At 42.5% G+C, this 19,211-nt stretch overlaps 1 protein-coding gene across 24 annotated transcripts in view; it reads left to right on the forward strand.

Annotated features, from left to right (window-relative positions):
• MGA (MAX dimerization protein MGA) overlaps positions 1–19,211 on the forward strand; it is a 148,717-nt gene that overhangs the window by 541 nt on the left and 128,965 nt on the right. The window lies entirely within an intron of this gene.

Genomic DNA, 19,211 nt, shown 5'->3' on the forward strand with positions numbered 1-19,211 from the left:
CGAGGCGCACCCACAGCTTTCCCCGGCGCCCCGGGGTGCGACGTGTTCACTGAGGTTCGACCGGGCCCTGACGGCCTGAGCGGTCTTTCGAAGCGCGTGTGCGGCCTGTAAATTCTGGCCGCGGCTTTTCGTGGCGTCCTGCTCCGCGGTGAGCACAGACGACAAGTTCTCAGCAAAATGGCTGCTGGAAAGAGTCGCCAAGCAGGGGGAGTGCTGGGGCCGCGTGAAGGTCACATGACGAGGTTGGCAGCGCGTGCTGCTGGCGCGGGGTAGGGGGAGGGTGGGGGGCGTGGCGGGTCACGTGCCTTCGACTGCGCCGGCCTGTGGTTTTCCAGCGTCTTTGCTGCGGTCGGATTGCCTGTTTTTACTCCTCCCACATCGAAGCGTGGCAAGCGTCGGTGAGAAGCTGTGTGGTGTACTGGGATGAGCCGAGATCTGGGAATTCGGAGGCCTGGGGTCCAGGCCTTTGGCTAGTTTCATCTTGCCACCCTCGGCTTCCATTTCTCATTCAGCTCGGTAGAGGAGATCACCTTTTAAGGTCCCTCATACGGCCTCTGACTTCCTCACCTCAATTTCATGCAGATAAAATAATTTAACAAATTCTTAAAAATTATAATGAGACAACCGCCACCCCGCCAAAAAAAACCCCACAGCCACTCCCCTCTCAATCATTACAATGATGTGGGAAACCTGGTGGAGGTAATTTGTTATAATATTCTGGGCATGTCTGTCTATCTTTATCATTCCCATTTATACTTTATAGGGGCCCACGACCTCATTCGAAAAATATTGTCTTTTAGACATCTAATCCCTATGTATTTTCTGGGAGGAAATCAAAAGGTAACTACTATTGTCATAACTGCGGAGATGGGGAAATAGTATTTAAAAGGGAAATGCTGATCCCCCATAACGCTGCCTAGAAGGGCCTAGAAGTCTTCGTTTCCACTTGGTGGGCTATCTTTGTAAAATTTTAGAGACCTGGTACCCACCAGCCTTTGGTATTTTTCTTGGTCTCTCCTCCCAGTTCTAGCTCGTCATTTCACCAAAGAAGGGTCAAGCCATTGGTGAAGAAAAGTATAAATTGTATGTTTTCCATACCACTGCTTATGTTTTATTATACCTTTTGATTTATCTTAAAAAGAGTCTTCGAATTTTGTGCGAACACATCTGGAAAACATTTATTGAGCAATCATAATAGCTGTCACTTTTGAGTAATTATAATAGTTATCTTTCTGGCTTGGTGTTCTAAATACTTTCTACTGTATTTAATTCATTTAGTTCTCATAACAAACCTACGAGGTAAGTACTGTTATCTCCGTTTTACCACTGAGGAAAATAGCAACAGAGAGATATGGCTGGCAGTTTTACATGATTCCAACCAGATTTCCTTTTGAAAATTTGCCAAATGGTTTTAAAATTCATTTGAAAAAGTAAACCTAGAAATTAAGAAACTTCTTGGAAGAGAAGAATGAGGAAAGGACTTGTACTAGAGAATATACAAATAAAGCTATGATAATCAAAATATAAGTAGCAACCCTGGAACACAAGAGTAGTGAAACAGAATAATCTAGAAATATATAAGGTTAGTGTTATAAAGATGGTATTTTATATGAGTAGGGAAGGTGTTCCAAAATTATATTGGAACAATCAACTGTTTGGAGAAAAAATGGGATTTCTACCTTAAAATTTAAATAAAATTGCCGGGTGTGGTGGCTCACGCCTGTAATCCCAGCACTTTGGGAGGCGGAGGCGGGTGGATCACCTGAGGTCGGGAGTTCGAGACTAGCCTGACCAACATGGAAAAACCCCGTCTCGACTAAAAATACAAAATTAGCCGGGTGTGGCGATGCATGCCTGTAATCATAGCCACTTGGGATGCTTGAACCGGGGAGGCGGAGGTTGCGGTGAGTGGAGATCGCGCCATTGCACTCCAGCCTGGGCAACAAGAGCGAAACTCCGTCTCCAAAAAAAAAAAAAGAATCTAGGTGAATTATTTATATATATATATATATTTTTTTTTTTTTTTTGAGAGGGAGTTTCGGGCTTGTCCCCCAGGCTGGAGTGCAGTGGTGCTCACCACAACCTCTGCCTTCTGGGTTCAAGCAATTCTCCTGCCTCAGACTCCCGAGTAGCTGGGATTACAGGTGTCTCCCACTACACCTGGCTAATTTTTGTAATTTTAGTTGAGGCGGGGTTTCACCGTGTTGGCCATGCTGGTCTGGAATTCCTGACCTCAGGTGATCCTCCAGCCTTGGCCTTCTGAAGTGCTAGGATTATAGGCGTGAGCCACCGAGCCCAGCAAATTAAATTTTTTTTTTTTTTGAGGGTCTCACTCTGTGGCCCAGGCTGGAGTGCAGTGGCATGATCTCGGCTTACTGCAACCTCTGCTTCTTGGATTCAAGCAGTTCTCCTGCCTCAGCCTCCCAAGTAGCTGGGATTATAGGTGCAGGCCACCACACCCAGGTAATTTTTGTATTTTTTTTTTTTTAATTTTATTTTTTGAGATGGAGTCCTGCTCTGTCGCCCAGGCTGGAGTACAGTGGTGCGATCTCAGCTCACTGCAACTTCCGCATCCCAGTTTCAAGTGATTCTTCTGCCTCAGCCTCTCAAGTAGCTGGGACTACAGGCAGACTATGCCGCCGCCACCACGCCTAGCTAATTTTTGTATTTTTAGTAGAGATAGGGTCCAGGTAGCTGGGACTACAGGCAGAGTATGCCTGCCACCACACCTAGCTAATTTTTGTATTTTTAGTAGAGACGGGGTTTCACTATATTGGCCAGGCTGGTCTCGAGCTGCTGACCTCATGATCTGCCCGCCTTGGCCTCCCAAAGTGCTCGGTGGGTGGCGTGAGCCACCGCACCTGGCTGATAATTTTTGTATTTTTAGTAGAGACGGGGTTTCACCATGTTGGCCAGGCTGGTCTGGAACTCCTCACTTCAGGTTTTCTTCCCATCTCGGCCTCCTAAAGTGCTGGGATTACAGGAGTGAGCCACTGCTCCTGGCCCAAATTAAATATTAAAATATAAAACGTGAAATCAGAAAATTACTACTTTAAAAAACTGGGAAAACAGTTTTCCAGTCTTGAAATAGAATGAGGCCAGGCACGTGGCTCATGTCTATAATCCCAGCACTTTGGGAGGCCCAGGTGGGAGGATTGCTCAAACCCAGGAATTCAAGACCAGCCTGGGTAACAGAGTGAGACCCCATCTGTACAAAAAAATTTCAGAATTAGCTTGGTGTGGTGGCACATCCCTGTTGTCACAGCTACTCAGGAGGCTGAGATGGGAAGATCACTTGACCTCAGGAGTTCGAGGCTGCAATGAGCTGTGACGTGTCACTGCACTCCAGATTGGCCAACAGAGTGAGACCCAGGCTCAACAAAAGAGAAAGGAGCTGTTCTACTAAGCATGACTGTCGAGGCAAATCCATAAAGACAAAGATGACAAAGATTGATACAGTTATTACAAAAAACATCTGTCTAGTTGGCAGAAACATGATAAAGTTAAAAGACAAATTTATTTATTTAGTATTCATTTGTATTTATTGAGTGTTTACTATGTGCCAGCCAATTTTTTTAAGTTTAGGAGATCCAGTAATCAGCAAAGCCTGGCAAATTGTGAGAAAAAAAAAATTGAACAAGGCTGATACAGGAGGATTCCTTGAGGCCGGGAGTTTTTTTTTTTTTTGAATCTTTACAAAGTCACTCAGCAGGCACACACTAAACGCTTGCTCCTTGGAGAGTGTTTGAGACCAGCCTGGTCAACACAGCAAAACCTTGTCTCTACGAGAAATACAAAAATCAGCTTGGTGTGGTGGCACATGCCTATAGTCCTAGCTACTCAGGAGGCTGAGGCAGGAGAATCACTTGAACCCAGAAGGTCAAGGCTACAGTGAGCCATGATTGTGCCACTGCACTCCAGCCTGGGCGACAGAGTGTGTGTCCCAAAAAATAAATAAATAAAAATAAAAATAAATAAATACGGTGCCTTTATAGAGGGGGGTACTTTGTACCTGGTAAACATGATATAGATCTCTATTAATGACTTGGAAAGCATGTGATAAGTGAACAAAGCAGATTACAAAATTATGTGATCACATTTTTGTAGAAATATACCTGTATATATCCCTTTATAGTACTTCTCCCTTATCCATGGTTTCAGTTTCAGTTATCTGCTGTCAACTGTGGTCTGAAAATATTTTGAGAGATCACATTTACATAACTTTTATTATAGTATATTGTAATATTTTATTAGTTTTTAATCTCTCACTGTGCCTAATTTATAAATTAAACTTTATTATAGGTAAGTATGTAAGTATAGGAAAAAACACTGTGTATAGGGTTCAATACTTTCCTAGGTTTTAGACATACACTGGGGGATCTTGGAATGTATCCTGTGGGGATAAGAGGAGAATTACTGTATATAGAAGTCTAAAAAGATAAATATCAAACGTAAGCTAATGGTGACATTTTTAAGCAGTAGGATTTTGGATGAATTGGATTAGAAAAAACTATTTTCCTCTTTTTTTTTTTTTTTTGACAAGTGGTCTTTCCATGTTGCACAGGCTGGTCTCAAACTACTGGGCTCAAGGGATCTTCTTGTCTTAGCCTCCCAAGTAGCTGTGACTGCAGCTGCACACTTGACTCTAAAAAAACTTTTTTTTTTAAAATTTTTTTAGACGGAGTTTTACTCTTGTTGCCCAGGCTAGAGTGCAATGGTGCTATCTCACCTCACTGCAATCTCTGCCTCCCGGGTTCAAGTGATTCTCCTGCCTCAGCCTCCTGAGTAGCTAGGATTACAGGCATGCGCCATCACGCCCGGCTAATTTTTGTATTTTTAGTAGAAACGGACTTTCTCCACATTGGTCAGGCTGGTCTTGAACTCCCGACCTCAGGAGATCCACCCGCCTTGGCTTCCCAAAGTGCTGGGATTACAGGCGTGAGCCACTGTGCCCGGCCTAAAAAAACTATTTTTTAAAAGTTTTAGATTTATAGAAAAATTGCAGACTACAAAGAGAGTTTTCATATACCTAGCTTCCCTTCCAGCTTTTCCCATTATTAAAATCTTATGTTAGTATAGTATATTTACTATAATTAAAATAATTTATTTTAGTTTTTGAGATGGAGTCTCTCTCTGTCACCCAGGCTGGAGCGCAAATGGCACTATCTCTGCTTACTGCAGCCTCTGCCTCCTGGGTTCAAGTGATCCTCCCACTTCAGCCTCCTGAGTAGCTGGAATAACAGGTGATTCTCGTGTCTCAGCCACCCAAGTAGCTGGGATTACAGGCGTGCACCACCACATCCAGCTAATTTTTTTGTATTTTTGGTAGAGATGGAGTTTCATCATGTTTCCCAGGTTGGTCTCCTGAGCTCAAGTGATCTGCTCTCCTTGGCCTCCCAAACTGTTGGGATTACAGGTGTGAGCCACCACACCCAGCCTATTATAATTAAGGAACCAATAATGATACATTATTATTAACGAAAGTCCATAGTTTATTCAGATTTCCTTTTTATCTAATGTCACTTTCTTGTTTCACTATTCCATCCAAGATAACACAGTACTTTTTGTAGTCATGTCTCCTTAGGATCCTCTTGGCTATGATAGTTTCTCACACTTTCCTTATTTTTGATGACCTTGACACTTTTGAGGAATACCAGTCAGGTTTTCTGTAGCATGTTACTCAATTGGGATTTGATGCTTTTTTCATCATTAGACTGGGGTTAGAGTACTTAGTATCAACATGATTGTCACTATTGATGTGACCTTGATCACTTGGCTGTCAGTTTTGTTTTTAAATGTTTGCTTTTCTATAGCTAATATTAATAAAATTTGTTACTTGCAATATAAAAGTAAATATCTGTTGATATTCTACACATGTCTACCAGTAGCATTTATAATAAGTAATACATTGACAAGCCTAATAATACAGAAAAAGGATAGTGGATATTATAATCAAGGAAAAATAATGACGAAGTTGCCTGAAGGGCTAATTGTAGAAAGGAATTAAAGGCGTTAGTACCATATAGCTTATTTTAACAGTCTTTAAGCTGTTTTAGGACTCTGTTTTAAGAAGAACATTCTGGTAATCAAGAATTGGATCTAAATTCAAAGGTAGGAAAGGAATTATTCAATTATTCATAGTAGGATGAAAATACAAATCGGATAGTTGAGATCAATTAGGTAATATCTTACAATTCAACAACAAATAATTAATGAGCCCTACTGCGTGCCAGGTGCTAAGGATTGAGCATTGAACAGGACAAAGTCCATGCCCTCATGGAAATTATATTTTGGTAGACAATGAGCTAATAAAGATGATTTCAGGGCCAGGCATGGTGGCTCATGCCTGTAATCCCAGCACTTTGGGAGGCCGAGGCAGGTGGATCACCTGAGGTCAGGAGTTTGAGACCAGCTTGGCCAACATGGTGAAACCCTGTCTCTACTAAAAAATACAAAAAATTAGCTGGGTGTGGTGGTGCACGCCTGTAGTCCTAGCTGTTCGGGAGCCTGAGGCATGAGAATATCTTGAACCCGGGAGGTTGCGGTGAGCTGAGATCGTGCCACTGCTCTCCAGCCTGGGTGACAGAGCAAGACTCTGTATCCAAAAAAAAAAAAAAAAAAAAAGCTATGAAGAAAACAATACAAGAGATAGAGAGTGGTGGTGGTGGGTTTGGTGGTTCTTTTAGGTGGGTTGCCAGGCAAGGCTTCTCTGAAGTAACATTTGAACATAACACGACCTGAATGATAAAGAGTAAGACACACCCAAACGTGGAGAATTGGAAGTGGTGGGAATAGTAATGCAAAGACTTTGTGTCAAAAATCAGTTTGGGGATTTTCAAGGAATTACAAGAAGGCTAGTGTGCCAGAGTTGGGAGAGTGCTGGGGTATGAAGTGGTGGTGGTGGTGGTGCATGCTAGTAGGAAATGAGATTGAGAATTGGCGGGGCTCAGATTGTGTAGAGCCTTGCAGGCCATGAGGTTTTTGGATTTTATTCTAACTGATGGTATTCATTGGACAGTTTTGTGCAGAAAAATGATACCTAATTTATGTTTTCAAAACATCGCTTTGCTGCAGAGGCAATTAAGCCGTTGGAGGCCGGGCACGGTGGCTCATGCCTGTAATTCCAGCACTTTGGGTGGCCGAGGCAGGTGGATCATGAGGTCAGGAGATCGAGACCATCCTGGCTAACATGGTGAAACCCTGTCTCTACTAAAAAATACAAAAAAAATTAGCTGGCCATGGTGGCGGGCGCCTGTAGTCGCAGCTACTTATGCTTAATCATAATGCATTGAAAAAGTGCCACTGCACTCCAGCCTGGGCGACTGAGCAAGACTTCGTCTCAAAAAAAAAAAAAAAAAAAAAGAAGCCATTGGAGTGTTGTGAGGTACAGTAGCTTGGACTAGTGAGGTAGATAAAGATAGATGCAGTGAGAAGTCATTGAATTCAGGGCATGTTTTCAAGGTAGAACCAACAGGATTTGCTGATAGATTAGCTGTGGGAGGTGAGTGAAAGAGAGTAATCAAAGATGATTACAAGGCTTTTAGCTGGAGCCAGTGGTGCCATTTACAGAGATGGGAAACAGGAAGGAGCTAGTTTGGATGAAGTGTTTAGATGTTTGGAGCTTGAGATGCCTGCTAGATATCCAGGAATAGCCATTGAGTAGGCAGCTGACTATTAAATTCTAGAGCCTAGGGTCAAGATCAGGGTTGCGAATATACCTTTGGGATGTCATCGATACATTGATGGTGTTTAAACATATAGAACTGCCAGCCTCTGCAACATAGTGAGACCTTGTCTCTATAAAGAAAAAAAAAAAATTAGCTGGGTGTGGTGGTGTGCCTGTGGCCCCAGCTACTTGGGAAGCTGATGTGGGAGGATTACTTCAGCCTGGGTGGTTGAAGCTACAATGAGCCATGATCATGCCACTGCACTCCAGCCTGCGCGACAAATGGAGATCCTGTCTCAAAAAAACAAAACTGAAAACAAAAACATGTAACTGGTTAGGTCAGCTAGGGAGTAAAGAAGAGGGCTAATGACTGAGCCCTGAGACTACTGATATCATAGAGTGGAATAGATTGTAATATATACTTAAATTTCTTTTGTATTGGTATCAGGACCAAATTGACTGAGCAACATGTAAATAGTATAACACTGAATAATGCCTTTGAGATGATTATAATGTTACTAGGCTCTTCCTGTTACTTGAATCCTCATGTTTTTGTCACTTTCCTGCCTGAAGATTTCTACTTTCTCTCCATTGTTTGAGGACATAAACCCCCAGACTTCTTCGCTTAGCATACCAGAGCCTTCATTGTCTGAGTACTCTACATCATCTCGCTCCTTTTTATCTTTTCTCCTCTTTATCACACCTACCGTGCCCAATGTGCTTGGCTCTTTTATAACCCCCTTTTGGCCTGGAATACTCTTTCTCCTCCTGCTGCCCTGCCTCAAACTCCTACTCAGTCTTCAATATCCACCTTAAATTTGCTATGTAATTTTCCCCAATTTCGACGGATAAAATTGACCCCTTCACTGCATGGTACTTCCTCAGTGCTGTTGCTTATACTTCAATTTATAGCAAAATACAAAATCAGTTGGCATTTTGGCTTTTAAAAAAATTCATTTGTTTTCCCAGTGCTTGGCATGTGGTAGATGCTTAATCATAATGCATTGAAAAAGTTTAAAAGTTTTGCTTTGGCCAAAGAGTAAGTAATTAAAAACTAAATCTTACAATACACGATCATATGGATCATTAGCTGAGATTTTTAGGATCTTTTTATTATGTCAAGTTGTTGGTTTTAGTGATATTCATTGTGGCATAATTTAGCCAGTACAAAGTTTAGTGAAATGTCAGTTAGAAGTCTTAGTTCAGAGACATATTAGGAATGTTTTATTCTCTAGGGCTGAATAATGCTTATTCTTTGGAGGCAGGCTATTATAATAGATTTTTCCTTCACTTGCCCACTTTTCCACCCAGCTTCTCAGTAGTCGGGAATTCTATTTTAACAGTACACGTGTACTTTGAGCTCTTTGCTGGAGATGGAACCTAATGTAATAAATCCAGTAGAATCAGCAGTACTCACCCCAGGAATGTCCTTTAAATTGTTGGATAGAAGGAGGCTTACTGGTGTGAATTGTAGGTGTGAAGATTTTTCAGCCTGTGAGTCCAAAGTAGGGTTGATTATTTTGTCATTCAATCATAAGCATGTATTGAGTACTTGCCATATATGGGTATTGTATGAGGTACAGTGTGGGGGACACACAAAAGAAATAAAAGGCATTCTTTGCACATGAGGCCTTGACAATTTAATTGAGGAACTGAAACATAGGAAGGAATTTAATCTTAACAAGCAATATATCCGTAAGTGCAAAGTACTGTAGTATAAATCAGGGACTGCATTTCTTAAGCCCATAATTATATTCTCAGGGTTATATGCAGTCTTATATCAGTTTTCAACATTTTAATTTGACTTGAAGTTCTGCATTTTCTCTTATCCTTTAACGTTTCTAGTTTCAATAAGATATTGATTTAGCTCTTTGTTTGATATGATAAAAGCCATATATAAGAAGAGTTCTCTGTCACAATGTTGCATCCAAGCATTTTTTCATTTCATGTCTATAAAGAAAGTACATAGGCCCACACCTGTAATCCCAGCACTTTGGGAAGCCAAGGAAGGAGGATTGCTTGAGGCTAGGAGTTCGAGACCAACCTGGGCAACATAGCGAGACCCTGTCTCTATGAAAACATAGAAATGAAAAATAAAAAATAAAATACATAATTTGAAATGGTAGAATGTCATTTATCCTTTACAAGTGTGACAGAGGCACACTTTCTTTTTTTTGCTATGTGTAGGTTCCTCCTCCGCATACTTTGTCTTTCCACTTAAAGGGGTGGAGGGGGAGAAAGAGAACCTGGAGAACAAATTTTGTGTGTGTATATGAATCTGAATTTAAAAGTATGTATTTTCATTAAAGGCAACCAACTGAACAGAAAAAAAAGTATGTATTTTCATATTTGAATTATAAAAGTGGCTTTTTTTTGAGAAGATAAATACATAAGCACAAATAATAATTTCTAATATGCCAGCTATCACTGTTAGCGTGTTGATATGCTTCTATGTTTCTTTTTTTTTAAATGGCAAGTGTTGTTTTTTTAGCTCAGATACATTTAGAAAAAAGATAATTGTCTTTACATAGGTTTATCTGATCATATTACTCTCAATAAAATTCTTTAGTGGCTTTGCATAGTAAATGGAATCAAGTTGAGACAAGTTCAGACTCCTTACTTAGCTTGACACATAAAGCTCACTACCTCATAGTTTATCTCACGTCATATGTCTCCCTCATACGCAACTTGTTTTATCCATGATACATGTGTGTACTACTTTCAGGCCTCTAGATGAGGGGTTGGCAAATGTTTTCTGTAGAGGACTAGATAGTAAATATTTTAATGTATGGACCTTAGCGTTTCTTTTAAGTACTACTCAATTCTGTTGTGGTAGTAAACTGCAGGACCAGCCCAGAGAGTGTCTACTCTGTTGATAACAGAATGTCAGGTTACTTTGTAGATATAAAAGAGCCAAGATTGCAAGTCATGTAGCCTGGGCATGCACAATAGAAAAAGCTTTGATCTTTAACAGCACCCAGAACCAACATCCCTCCTCTCCTCCCCCAGCAGAACCAAGAAGTCTGGGACATGACCAGAACTTGAATGCTGGAACCTTTTCAGAAGCAGCGGGTCCATTGGCCGTAAAGATCCAGGGCTAAAATTTGCCTCAGCATACCTTACCGAAATGGTTAAGTTTGAAGCCCTCCAATCAGACCTTGGCAAGCCAACATTTCCAGGTCTTTTCCCTTGCCCTCCAACCTCTTAAAACTTGTCCCAGACTCCAAATCAGGGAGATAGATTTGAGCTGGGCCTCCTGTTTCCTCACTAGTCTGCCTTGCAATAAAGCGTTTCTTTTCTCAAAAGCTGGTGCCTCCTACCTGTAGGAGGTCTCCTTCCTGTAGGAGATAGGGAAAAAAAAAAAAGCTGGTGCCATAGTATTGGCTTCAATGCATAATGGGCAGAGAGCCCATTTGCTAGATAACAGCACAAAAGCAGCCACAGACAATAATACACAAACAAATGAAATGGCTGTGTTTCAGGAAACTTTATATATAGACACTGAAATTTGAATTTCATGTAATTTTTTTTTTTTTTTTGAGACGGAGTCTCGCTCTGTCGCCCAGGCTGGAGTGCAATGACATGATCTCAGCTCACTGCAACCTCTGCCTCCCGGGTTCAAGCGATTCTTCTGCCTCAGCCTCCCGAGTAGCTGAGACTACAGGCGCGTGCCACCACGCCTGGCTAATTTTGTATTTTTAGTAGAGACGGGGTTTCACTGCGTTAGCCAGGATGGTCTTGATCTCCTGACCTTGTGATCCCCCCTGCCTTGGCCTCCCAAAGTGCTAGGATTACAGGTGTGAGCCACCACGCCCAGCCTGGTAGCCACCTGTTAAGGGAAGATTACTATATGCCAGGCATTGTGTTAAGGATCATTATTTAATCGCCTAAGTAGTCTCTTCCTGACATTGCCCTCCTATGGTATTTTTTTTTTTTTTTTTGAGACAGAGTCTTGCTCTGTTGCCCAGGCTGGAGTGCAGTGGTGCAGTCTTGGTTCACTGCAACCTCTGCCTCCTGGGCTCAAGTGATCCTCCCACCTCTGCCTCCCTAGTAGCTGGGACCAATGTAACTGTGATGTTACAGAAAAAAATAAAGCAGGGAAGAGAGATGGGGAAGAAATCAAAATCTGAATTGAGATTGAGCCACAATACTTGGCTAATTTCTGTATTTTTAGTAGAGACGGGTTTTTGCCATGTTGCCCAGGCTGGTCTGGAACTCCTGAAATCAAGTGATCCACCCACCTTGGCTTCCCAAAGTGCTGGGATTACAGGTGTGAGCCACTGTGCCCGGCCTGTGATATATTCTTAATATGGCAGCAGAGAGAAGCTGTCAGATTGGAGATGCTGATGCTGTTAAAGTCCAGTCATATCGTTCCTCTGCTCAAAACCTTACAGTGACTTCCTATTTCTGGCAAAATAAAAGCTAAAATCCTTACAACGGCCTTTAAGGTTGTATGTGAGCTGCTCCCCTCTTACTTCTCTGACCTTATCTCTTAACACTCCCTTCCTTAATCTCTGCTCCAGCTTCTTCATCTCCTTGCTTTTCCTTGTTCATGCTGGGCATATACCCTTTCATTTCTGGTTTCCTCTGTCTGGAATACTGCATAGCTTGTTCCCTCAATTCAGATTTTGATTTGAATGCCTTGGTTCCTATTTTGATTTCTTCCCCATCTCTCTTCCCTGCTTTATTTTTTTCTGTAGCATCACAGTATATAACACACCATATTACATCATGTATTTATTTATTTTCCTTGTTTGATGTTTCCCCTACTAAAATTCGAGTACCATGAGGACAGGGATTTTTGTCCTGTTTGCTGCTGTTTTTGTAGTACCTAGCAAGCACAAAGTAAGTGCTTAATAATGTTTGCTGAGTGAATGAATAAACTGCCACAACCCTATGCCATGGACACTGTTATTTCATTTTGCAAATGAGGAAACTAAAGCCCAGAGAGGTTAAATGATTTGCATAGGGTCACATGACTCTTAATCTTCCTGCTGAATGGCTTTATCTCCTGTCATCTCATTATGCCTCTGTGCTCAGTCATGGGACACTAAATATTTGTGTATGTTTATGTATGTGTGTGTGTATGTATGTTTGAATATCATATACATGTTTTATCTTCTGTGCCTTTGCTCATGTTGTTTCCTCAGGAGACATCCTTCCCCTTTCCTTCCCCTTACTGAGGTAGAACTTTATTTGCAGGAGAAATGGTGATTTAGAGGAGTTGCTGGGTATGAAGATTGTTTGGTGAGATAGAGGGATGAGTATTGTGAGCTAAGGCCAAATGATGGTAAATGCATATAATGTATGTTCAGGGAGCGTTTGGTTAGAATGAGGTTTTGTTTGAGTATGATAGACCATGAAGTTAAAGAGAGGGAGGGAGGGTTATGGTCCCACCATTGAGACCTCGAGCTTCAGGCTAAGGAGCAGGTATTTTTATCTTGTCCCTTGAAGGTTTTTGAGCAGGAGAGTGTTAATGAAAAAATAGTACTTGGAAAAATATTTGATTTTGCAGTGGTGATGAGAATAGTTTGAAGTAAGAACACTTAGGAGATTATTAGGATGACATAGTTCAGAGGTGAGGTAATCAGGGCTGAAGTTTATAATTAAGAGTGGAAATTGGCTGGGTGTGGTGGCTCACGTGTGTAATCCCAGCACCTAGGGAGGCTGAGGCAGTTGGATCACTTAAGGTCAGGAGTTCGAGACCATCCTGGCCAACATGGCAAAACCCCATCTCTACTAAAAATACAAAAATTGGCCGGGTGTGGTGGCGTGCACCTGTAGTCCCAGGTATTCAGGAGGCTGAGGCACGAGAATTGCCTGAACCCAGGAGGTGGAGGTCACAGTGAGTCGAGGTCCTACCACTGCACTCCAGCCTGGGCAACAGAGAAAGACTCTGTCTCAAATAAATAAATAAGTAAATAAGAGTTGAAATTAAAGTGCGGAGATGAGACACTAGACAAACACCAAACACAAACACACACACACACAAAATAAGGCTGGGCGCGGTGGCTCACGCCAGTAATCCCAGCACTTTGGGAGGCCAAGGTGGGAGTTTGAGACCAGCCCAGGCAACATAGTGAGACCCCCCCCCTCCTATAAAAAATTTTAAAAAATTAGCTGAGTACGATGGCATGTGCCTGTGGGCCCAGGTACGTGGGAGGCTGAGGTGAGTGGATTGCCTGAGCCTGGAAGGTCAAGGCTGCAGGGAGCCATGATCCTGTCACTGCACTCCAGCCTGGGTAACAGAGTGGGTGTCTCAGAAAAAAGAAGGACTACATTAAGACTAAATCCCAGCTACAAATACATTCATGTGCCACATAATGATATTTTGGTCAATGATGGACTGCATATACTGTGGTGGTCCCATAAGGTTAATGGAGCTGAAAAATTTCTGTTGCATAGTGATAGGGTAGCTGTTTTAACGTTGTGGCACAATGCATTTACTCTTGTTTATAGTGATACTGGTGTAAACAAACCTGTGCTGCCAGTTGTATAAAAATATAGCAGGTACAATTACATATAGTATATAATAATTAAAACTTTATAAAATTCAGTACTAGATGATACTGCAATAACATACAGTACATAATATATAGTGGATATACATATATTACATAGTTCATAATAAGCTGTGTTACTGGAGTATGCATTTACTATACTATACTTTATTATTTTATTTTCCTGCAAATACCTCATCTACTACTTGAGTTTAATTTTTTTTTATAGACAGGGTTTCACTCTGTCACCCAGGCTGGAGTGCAGTGGGGTGATTGAAGCTCACTGTAGCCTCCAACTCCTGGGCCCAAGCAATTCTCCCATCTCAACCTCTTGACCATGCCAGACTAAATTTTTTATTTTATTTTATTTTATTTTTTTTGAGATGGAGTCTCGCTCTGTTGCCCAGGCTGGAGTGCAGTGGCACAGTCTCGACTCACTGCAACCCCCGCCCCCCAGGTTCAAGCGTTTCTTCTGCCTCAGCCTCCCCAGTAGCTGGGATTACAGGTGCCTGCCACCATGCTTGGCTAATTTTTTTTTTTTTTTTTTTGAGATGGAGCCTTGCTCTGTTGCCCAGGCTGGAGTACAGTGGCGGGATCTCGGCTCACTGCAACCTCCACCTCCTGGGTTGAAGTGATTTCTGGCTTATTTTTTGTGTGTGTTTTTAGTAGAGACAGGGTTTCACCGTGTTAGCCACAGTGGTCTTGAACTCCCGACCTCAAGTGACCTGTCCTCCTCAACCTCCCAAAGTGCTGGGATTACAGGCCTGAGCCACCATACCCAGCCTAATTTTTGTATTTTTAGTAGAGATGGGGTTTCACCATTTTGGCCAGGCTGGTGTCAAACTCCTGACCTCAGGAAATCCACCTACCTCAGCCTCCCAAAGTGCCGGGATTACAAGCGTGAGCCACCACACCTGGCCTGTGGTGTTTTATATCAGGGATTTGAGCATCCATGGATTTTGGTATCTGCAAGGGTGTCCTGGAACCAGTCCCCATAAATAATGAGACAACTGTGTATCTCAAAGGTGACACCGTAAAGGGAGATGATCATGATCTGGAAACTTTGATAGAAAGGCAAGAGAATGACAATCATATCTTGCTCTGGGGGCGGGGGTGGTAAAGGTCGTAGTAAAGAGAGAAATGTGAGAAAATACTTGAAGGAGGACAGCCAGGGTTAAGTCAAGGTAAATAAGTGGAAGGACCATTGTTCAGAAAGATTGAGGAAGCCTGAGATTTGGTATGATAAGAGTGAGTATTGTTTTGGGCATAGTGGAAAGATTTGGGCAGTGACAGTGTGGAAAGAACCAGGGTTGAGGACCTACAGATTAGGAAGATAGGTCATGGTTCGTATCATATTGCCTTTGTCTTTGGTGACCTGGGATTATAGAGATCAGAGGGAATGTTGGAAGTTATTGATTGACTTAATTGTCTGGACTTTGCAAGTTGTTTTGGTACTGAAACTGGTTTAAAGATTCAAATAGTATATTACTTGATCTCATAGAGGTGGTAAATCCTTTTTATAAAGTTAGCGTCAAAGGCAACAAAGACTGTATTCTGGGTGAGGGGTTGAATAAGCAGAGTTGAAATCACTTGTTAGGTAAAGGCTCCCAGAAGGAATGTGGTGAAAAGCCGATTGTGTCCAACGACTCCTGTGATGCTTATAGAGGGGCTATAAAGTTCCCCCAGGTTGAGGGGAATGTGGTGACAGGGTTCATTTTAGAATAGAGTGATTATCAGTTTAAAATTGAATGGCTTGTGGATATATGCTAGAAGGAACCAGAAATGAATATCTGTTAGGATACTGGGATATGGGTTACAATTTTTTTTTTTTTGAGGCAGAGTCTTGTTCTGTTGCTCAGGCTGGAGTGCAATGGCGTGATCTCTGCTCACTGCGACCTCCGCCTCCCGGCTTCAAGAGATTCTCCTGCCTCAGCCTTCTGAGTAGCTGGGATTACAGGTGCCTGCCACCCCATCTGGCTAATTTTTGTATTTTTAGTAGAGACGGGGTTTCGTTGGCCAGGCTGGTCTCGAACTCAGGTGGTCCACCGCCTCGGCCTCCCAAAGTACTGGGATTACAGACGTGAGCCACTACTGTGCCCAGCTTTTTTTTTTTTTTTTTTTTTTTTTTTTGGGACACAGTCTTGCTCTGTCGCCCAGGCTGGAGTGCAGTGGTGAGATCTCGGCTCATTGCAACCTCCGCCTCCTGGGTTCAAGCAATTCTCTTGCCTCAGTCTCCTGAATAGCTGGAACTATAGGTGTGCGCTGCCATGCCCGGCTAATTTTTGTATTTTCAGTAGAGACGGGGTTTCGTCATGTTGGTCAGGCTGGTCTCGAACTCCTGACTTCAGGTGATCCGCCTGTCTCGGCCTCCCAAAGTGCTGGGATTATGGGCATGTGCCTGGCCAGATATGGGTTAATTTTTAATTTTAAAATATGCTAGAATTTTTTTTTTTTTGAGACAATCTTGCTCTGTCACCCAGGCTGGAGTGCAGTGTCATGATCATATCTCACTGCAGCCTCTAACTCCTGGGCTCAGGAGATCCTCCTGCCTTAGCCTTCTGAGTAGCTGGGACCACAGGCATGTACCACCACACTCAGTTAATTTTTAAAGTTTTTTTTGTAGACGGGGTCTTCCTATGTTTCCCAGGGGTCTTGCTTGTCTTGAACTCCTGGGCTTAAGTTATCCTCCAACCTTGGCCTCTCAAAGTGTTGGGATAACAGGTGTGAGCTATTTTACCTGGCCTTTCTTTTCTTTTTCTTTTTTTTTTTTTTTTTTTTGAGACAGGGTCTTTCTCTCTTGCCCAAGCTGGAGTGCAGTGGTGTGATCTTGGCTCACTGCAACCTCTGCCTCCTGAGTTTGAGTGATTCTCCTACCTCAGCCTCCCTATTAGCTGAGACTACAGGCGCGTGCCACCATGCCTGCGCCACCATGCCTGCTAATTTTTTGTTGTTGTATTTTTGGTAGAGATGGGGTTTTGCCTTATTGCCCAGGCTGGTCTTGCACTCTTGGGATCAAGTGATCCACCTGTCTTGGCCTCCCAAAGTGCTAGGATTACAGGTGTGAGCCACCACACCTGACCTTTTTTTGATGGGGGTCTCACTGTGTTGCCCAGGCTGGACTTGAACTCCAGGTCTCAAGTGATCTCACATCTCAGCCCTTTCAGCATGAGAATTTGTCCTTCTCTTCCTGGTTGGGGATCATAATGTCTTCTTTTTTTCCCCTCTTGTTATACTATTCTTGTCCCATCCCACTTCTGACTTCACCCTTTTCTTTTGTGTGTTTTTCCTTGTCTTATGGTTTCTTCTCTTGTGTGGCTCTACTATTTTATGGCCCCTTCTCTGGCAATGTTTTAGTTTCTATTCTTGATTCCAGCTCCGTGAGTCTTTTCCTCCCACTTTCCATTCAGTTGAGAGGGAATAAGAGAGTACATTTTTACATTTAAGTCAGAGAATGTTTGTCATTCCTATTTAACTAAACTCTCATAGCACTCTTTCCTCACAAGCTGATGGTTAATTCATAGAACCTTTAGGTCTGTTGGATCCCCCTATCTAATTAGCTCGGCACAGGAGTCAGGAGCATGTAGTTTTTTTTTTTTAAATTAATTAATTTATTTTTATTATTTTTATTTTTTTAGATGGAGTCTCGCTCTGTCGTCCAGGCTGGAGTGCAGTGGCGCAATCTCGGCTCACTGCAAGCACCGTCTCCTAGGTTCACACCATTCCCCTGCCTCAGCCACTAGAGTAGCTGGGACTACAGGCACCTGCCACCACGCCCAGCTAATTTTTTTTTTGTATTGTTAGTAGAGACGGGGTTTCACCGTGTTAGCCAGGATGGTCTCGATCTCCTGACCTCGTGATCTGCCTGCCTTGGCCTCCCAAAGTGCTGGGATTACAGGCGTGAGCCACCGTGCCTGGCCCCAGGAGCATGTGGTTTTTATGTGGAGTTAGGAGTTGAAGGTGAAATAAGAGGTTCCTTAATCTGCAAGGCATTGTTGGTAGAGCTTTTGCCTTGAGAGATGACTCTGAGTGTGCTGACCAATCTGTCAAGGATGATGAGAGCTAGATTACTGTGCACCAAAGGAGAATGACAGTATCCTTTGGTGGTTTAGAGGAAGGCCAGTGTTTACACAGCAAGGGCATCAAGGCAGGCTTCATGAAAATACTCGACTTTAAGAATGAGGATGATTTCAATAGGAGGAGATTAGGGAGAATGATGCTGGTGAATTTATGGACTACGAAGGCAGAGAGAAGATGCTAAAGCAGCGTAATTATAAATGCAAAGGTTCAGATAAAAAAACCCGGGGAGCATATTTAGGAAATAAGGAGTAGTTGAGTATACAGCAGCAGGAAGAAGGAAAGCTGGGTCCAGAGTATTGAGGCCCTTATATGCTAAGCTAAGGAGTTGAGGTGCAACTTGGTGCTCATTGTTTGTCTTAGAGTTCTCACTAACCTTAAAGTTACTGAGAATTTACAAAGGAGTTGTTGAGCCTAGAGAAGCGATACAGTTTCTTATCGTTGATGTAAGATTGTACATCATTTGAACCTTAGTTTTGTGACATTAGCGTCTAACATTTATTTGTAGGTATTTCCTCTTAGTTTTTTTTTTTGAGATGGAATCTCGCTCTGTCGCCCAGGCTGGAATACAATGGTGCGATCTCGGCTCTCTGCAATGTCTGCCTCCCGGTTCAAGCGATTCTCCTGCCTCAGCCTCCCAAGTAGCTGGGATTACAGGCATACGCCACCACATCCAGCTAATTTTTGTATTTTTAGTAGAGACGGGGTTTTGCCATGTAAGTTAGGCTGGTCTCAAACTCCTGACCTCACGATCTGCCCACCTCGGCCTCCCAAAGTGCTGGGATTATAGGCGTGAGCCACTGCGCCTGCCCTCCTCTTAGTTTTTAAAGTTTTGAGATAAAATTAATGTACTATAAAATTTACCCATTTAAAGTGTATAATTCAGTGGTTTTTAGTGTATTCATAGTAATGCATCCATCACCACAATTTTAGAACATTTCAGCATCCCAGAAAGCAACACTATACTCATT

This window comes from Homo sapiens, chromosome 15, assembly GCF_000001405.40.
Source record: "Homo sapiens chromosome 15, GRCh38.p14 Primary Assembly".
Taxonomy (NCBI): Eukaryota; Metazoa; Chordata; class Mammalia; order Primates; family Hominidae; genus Homo; species Homo sapiens.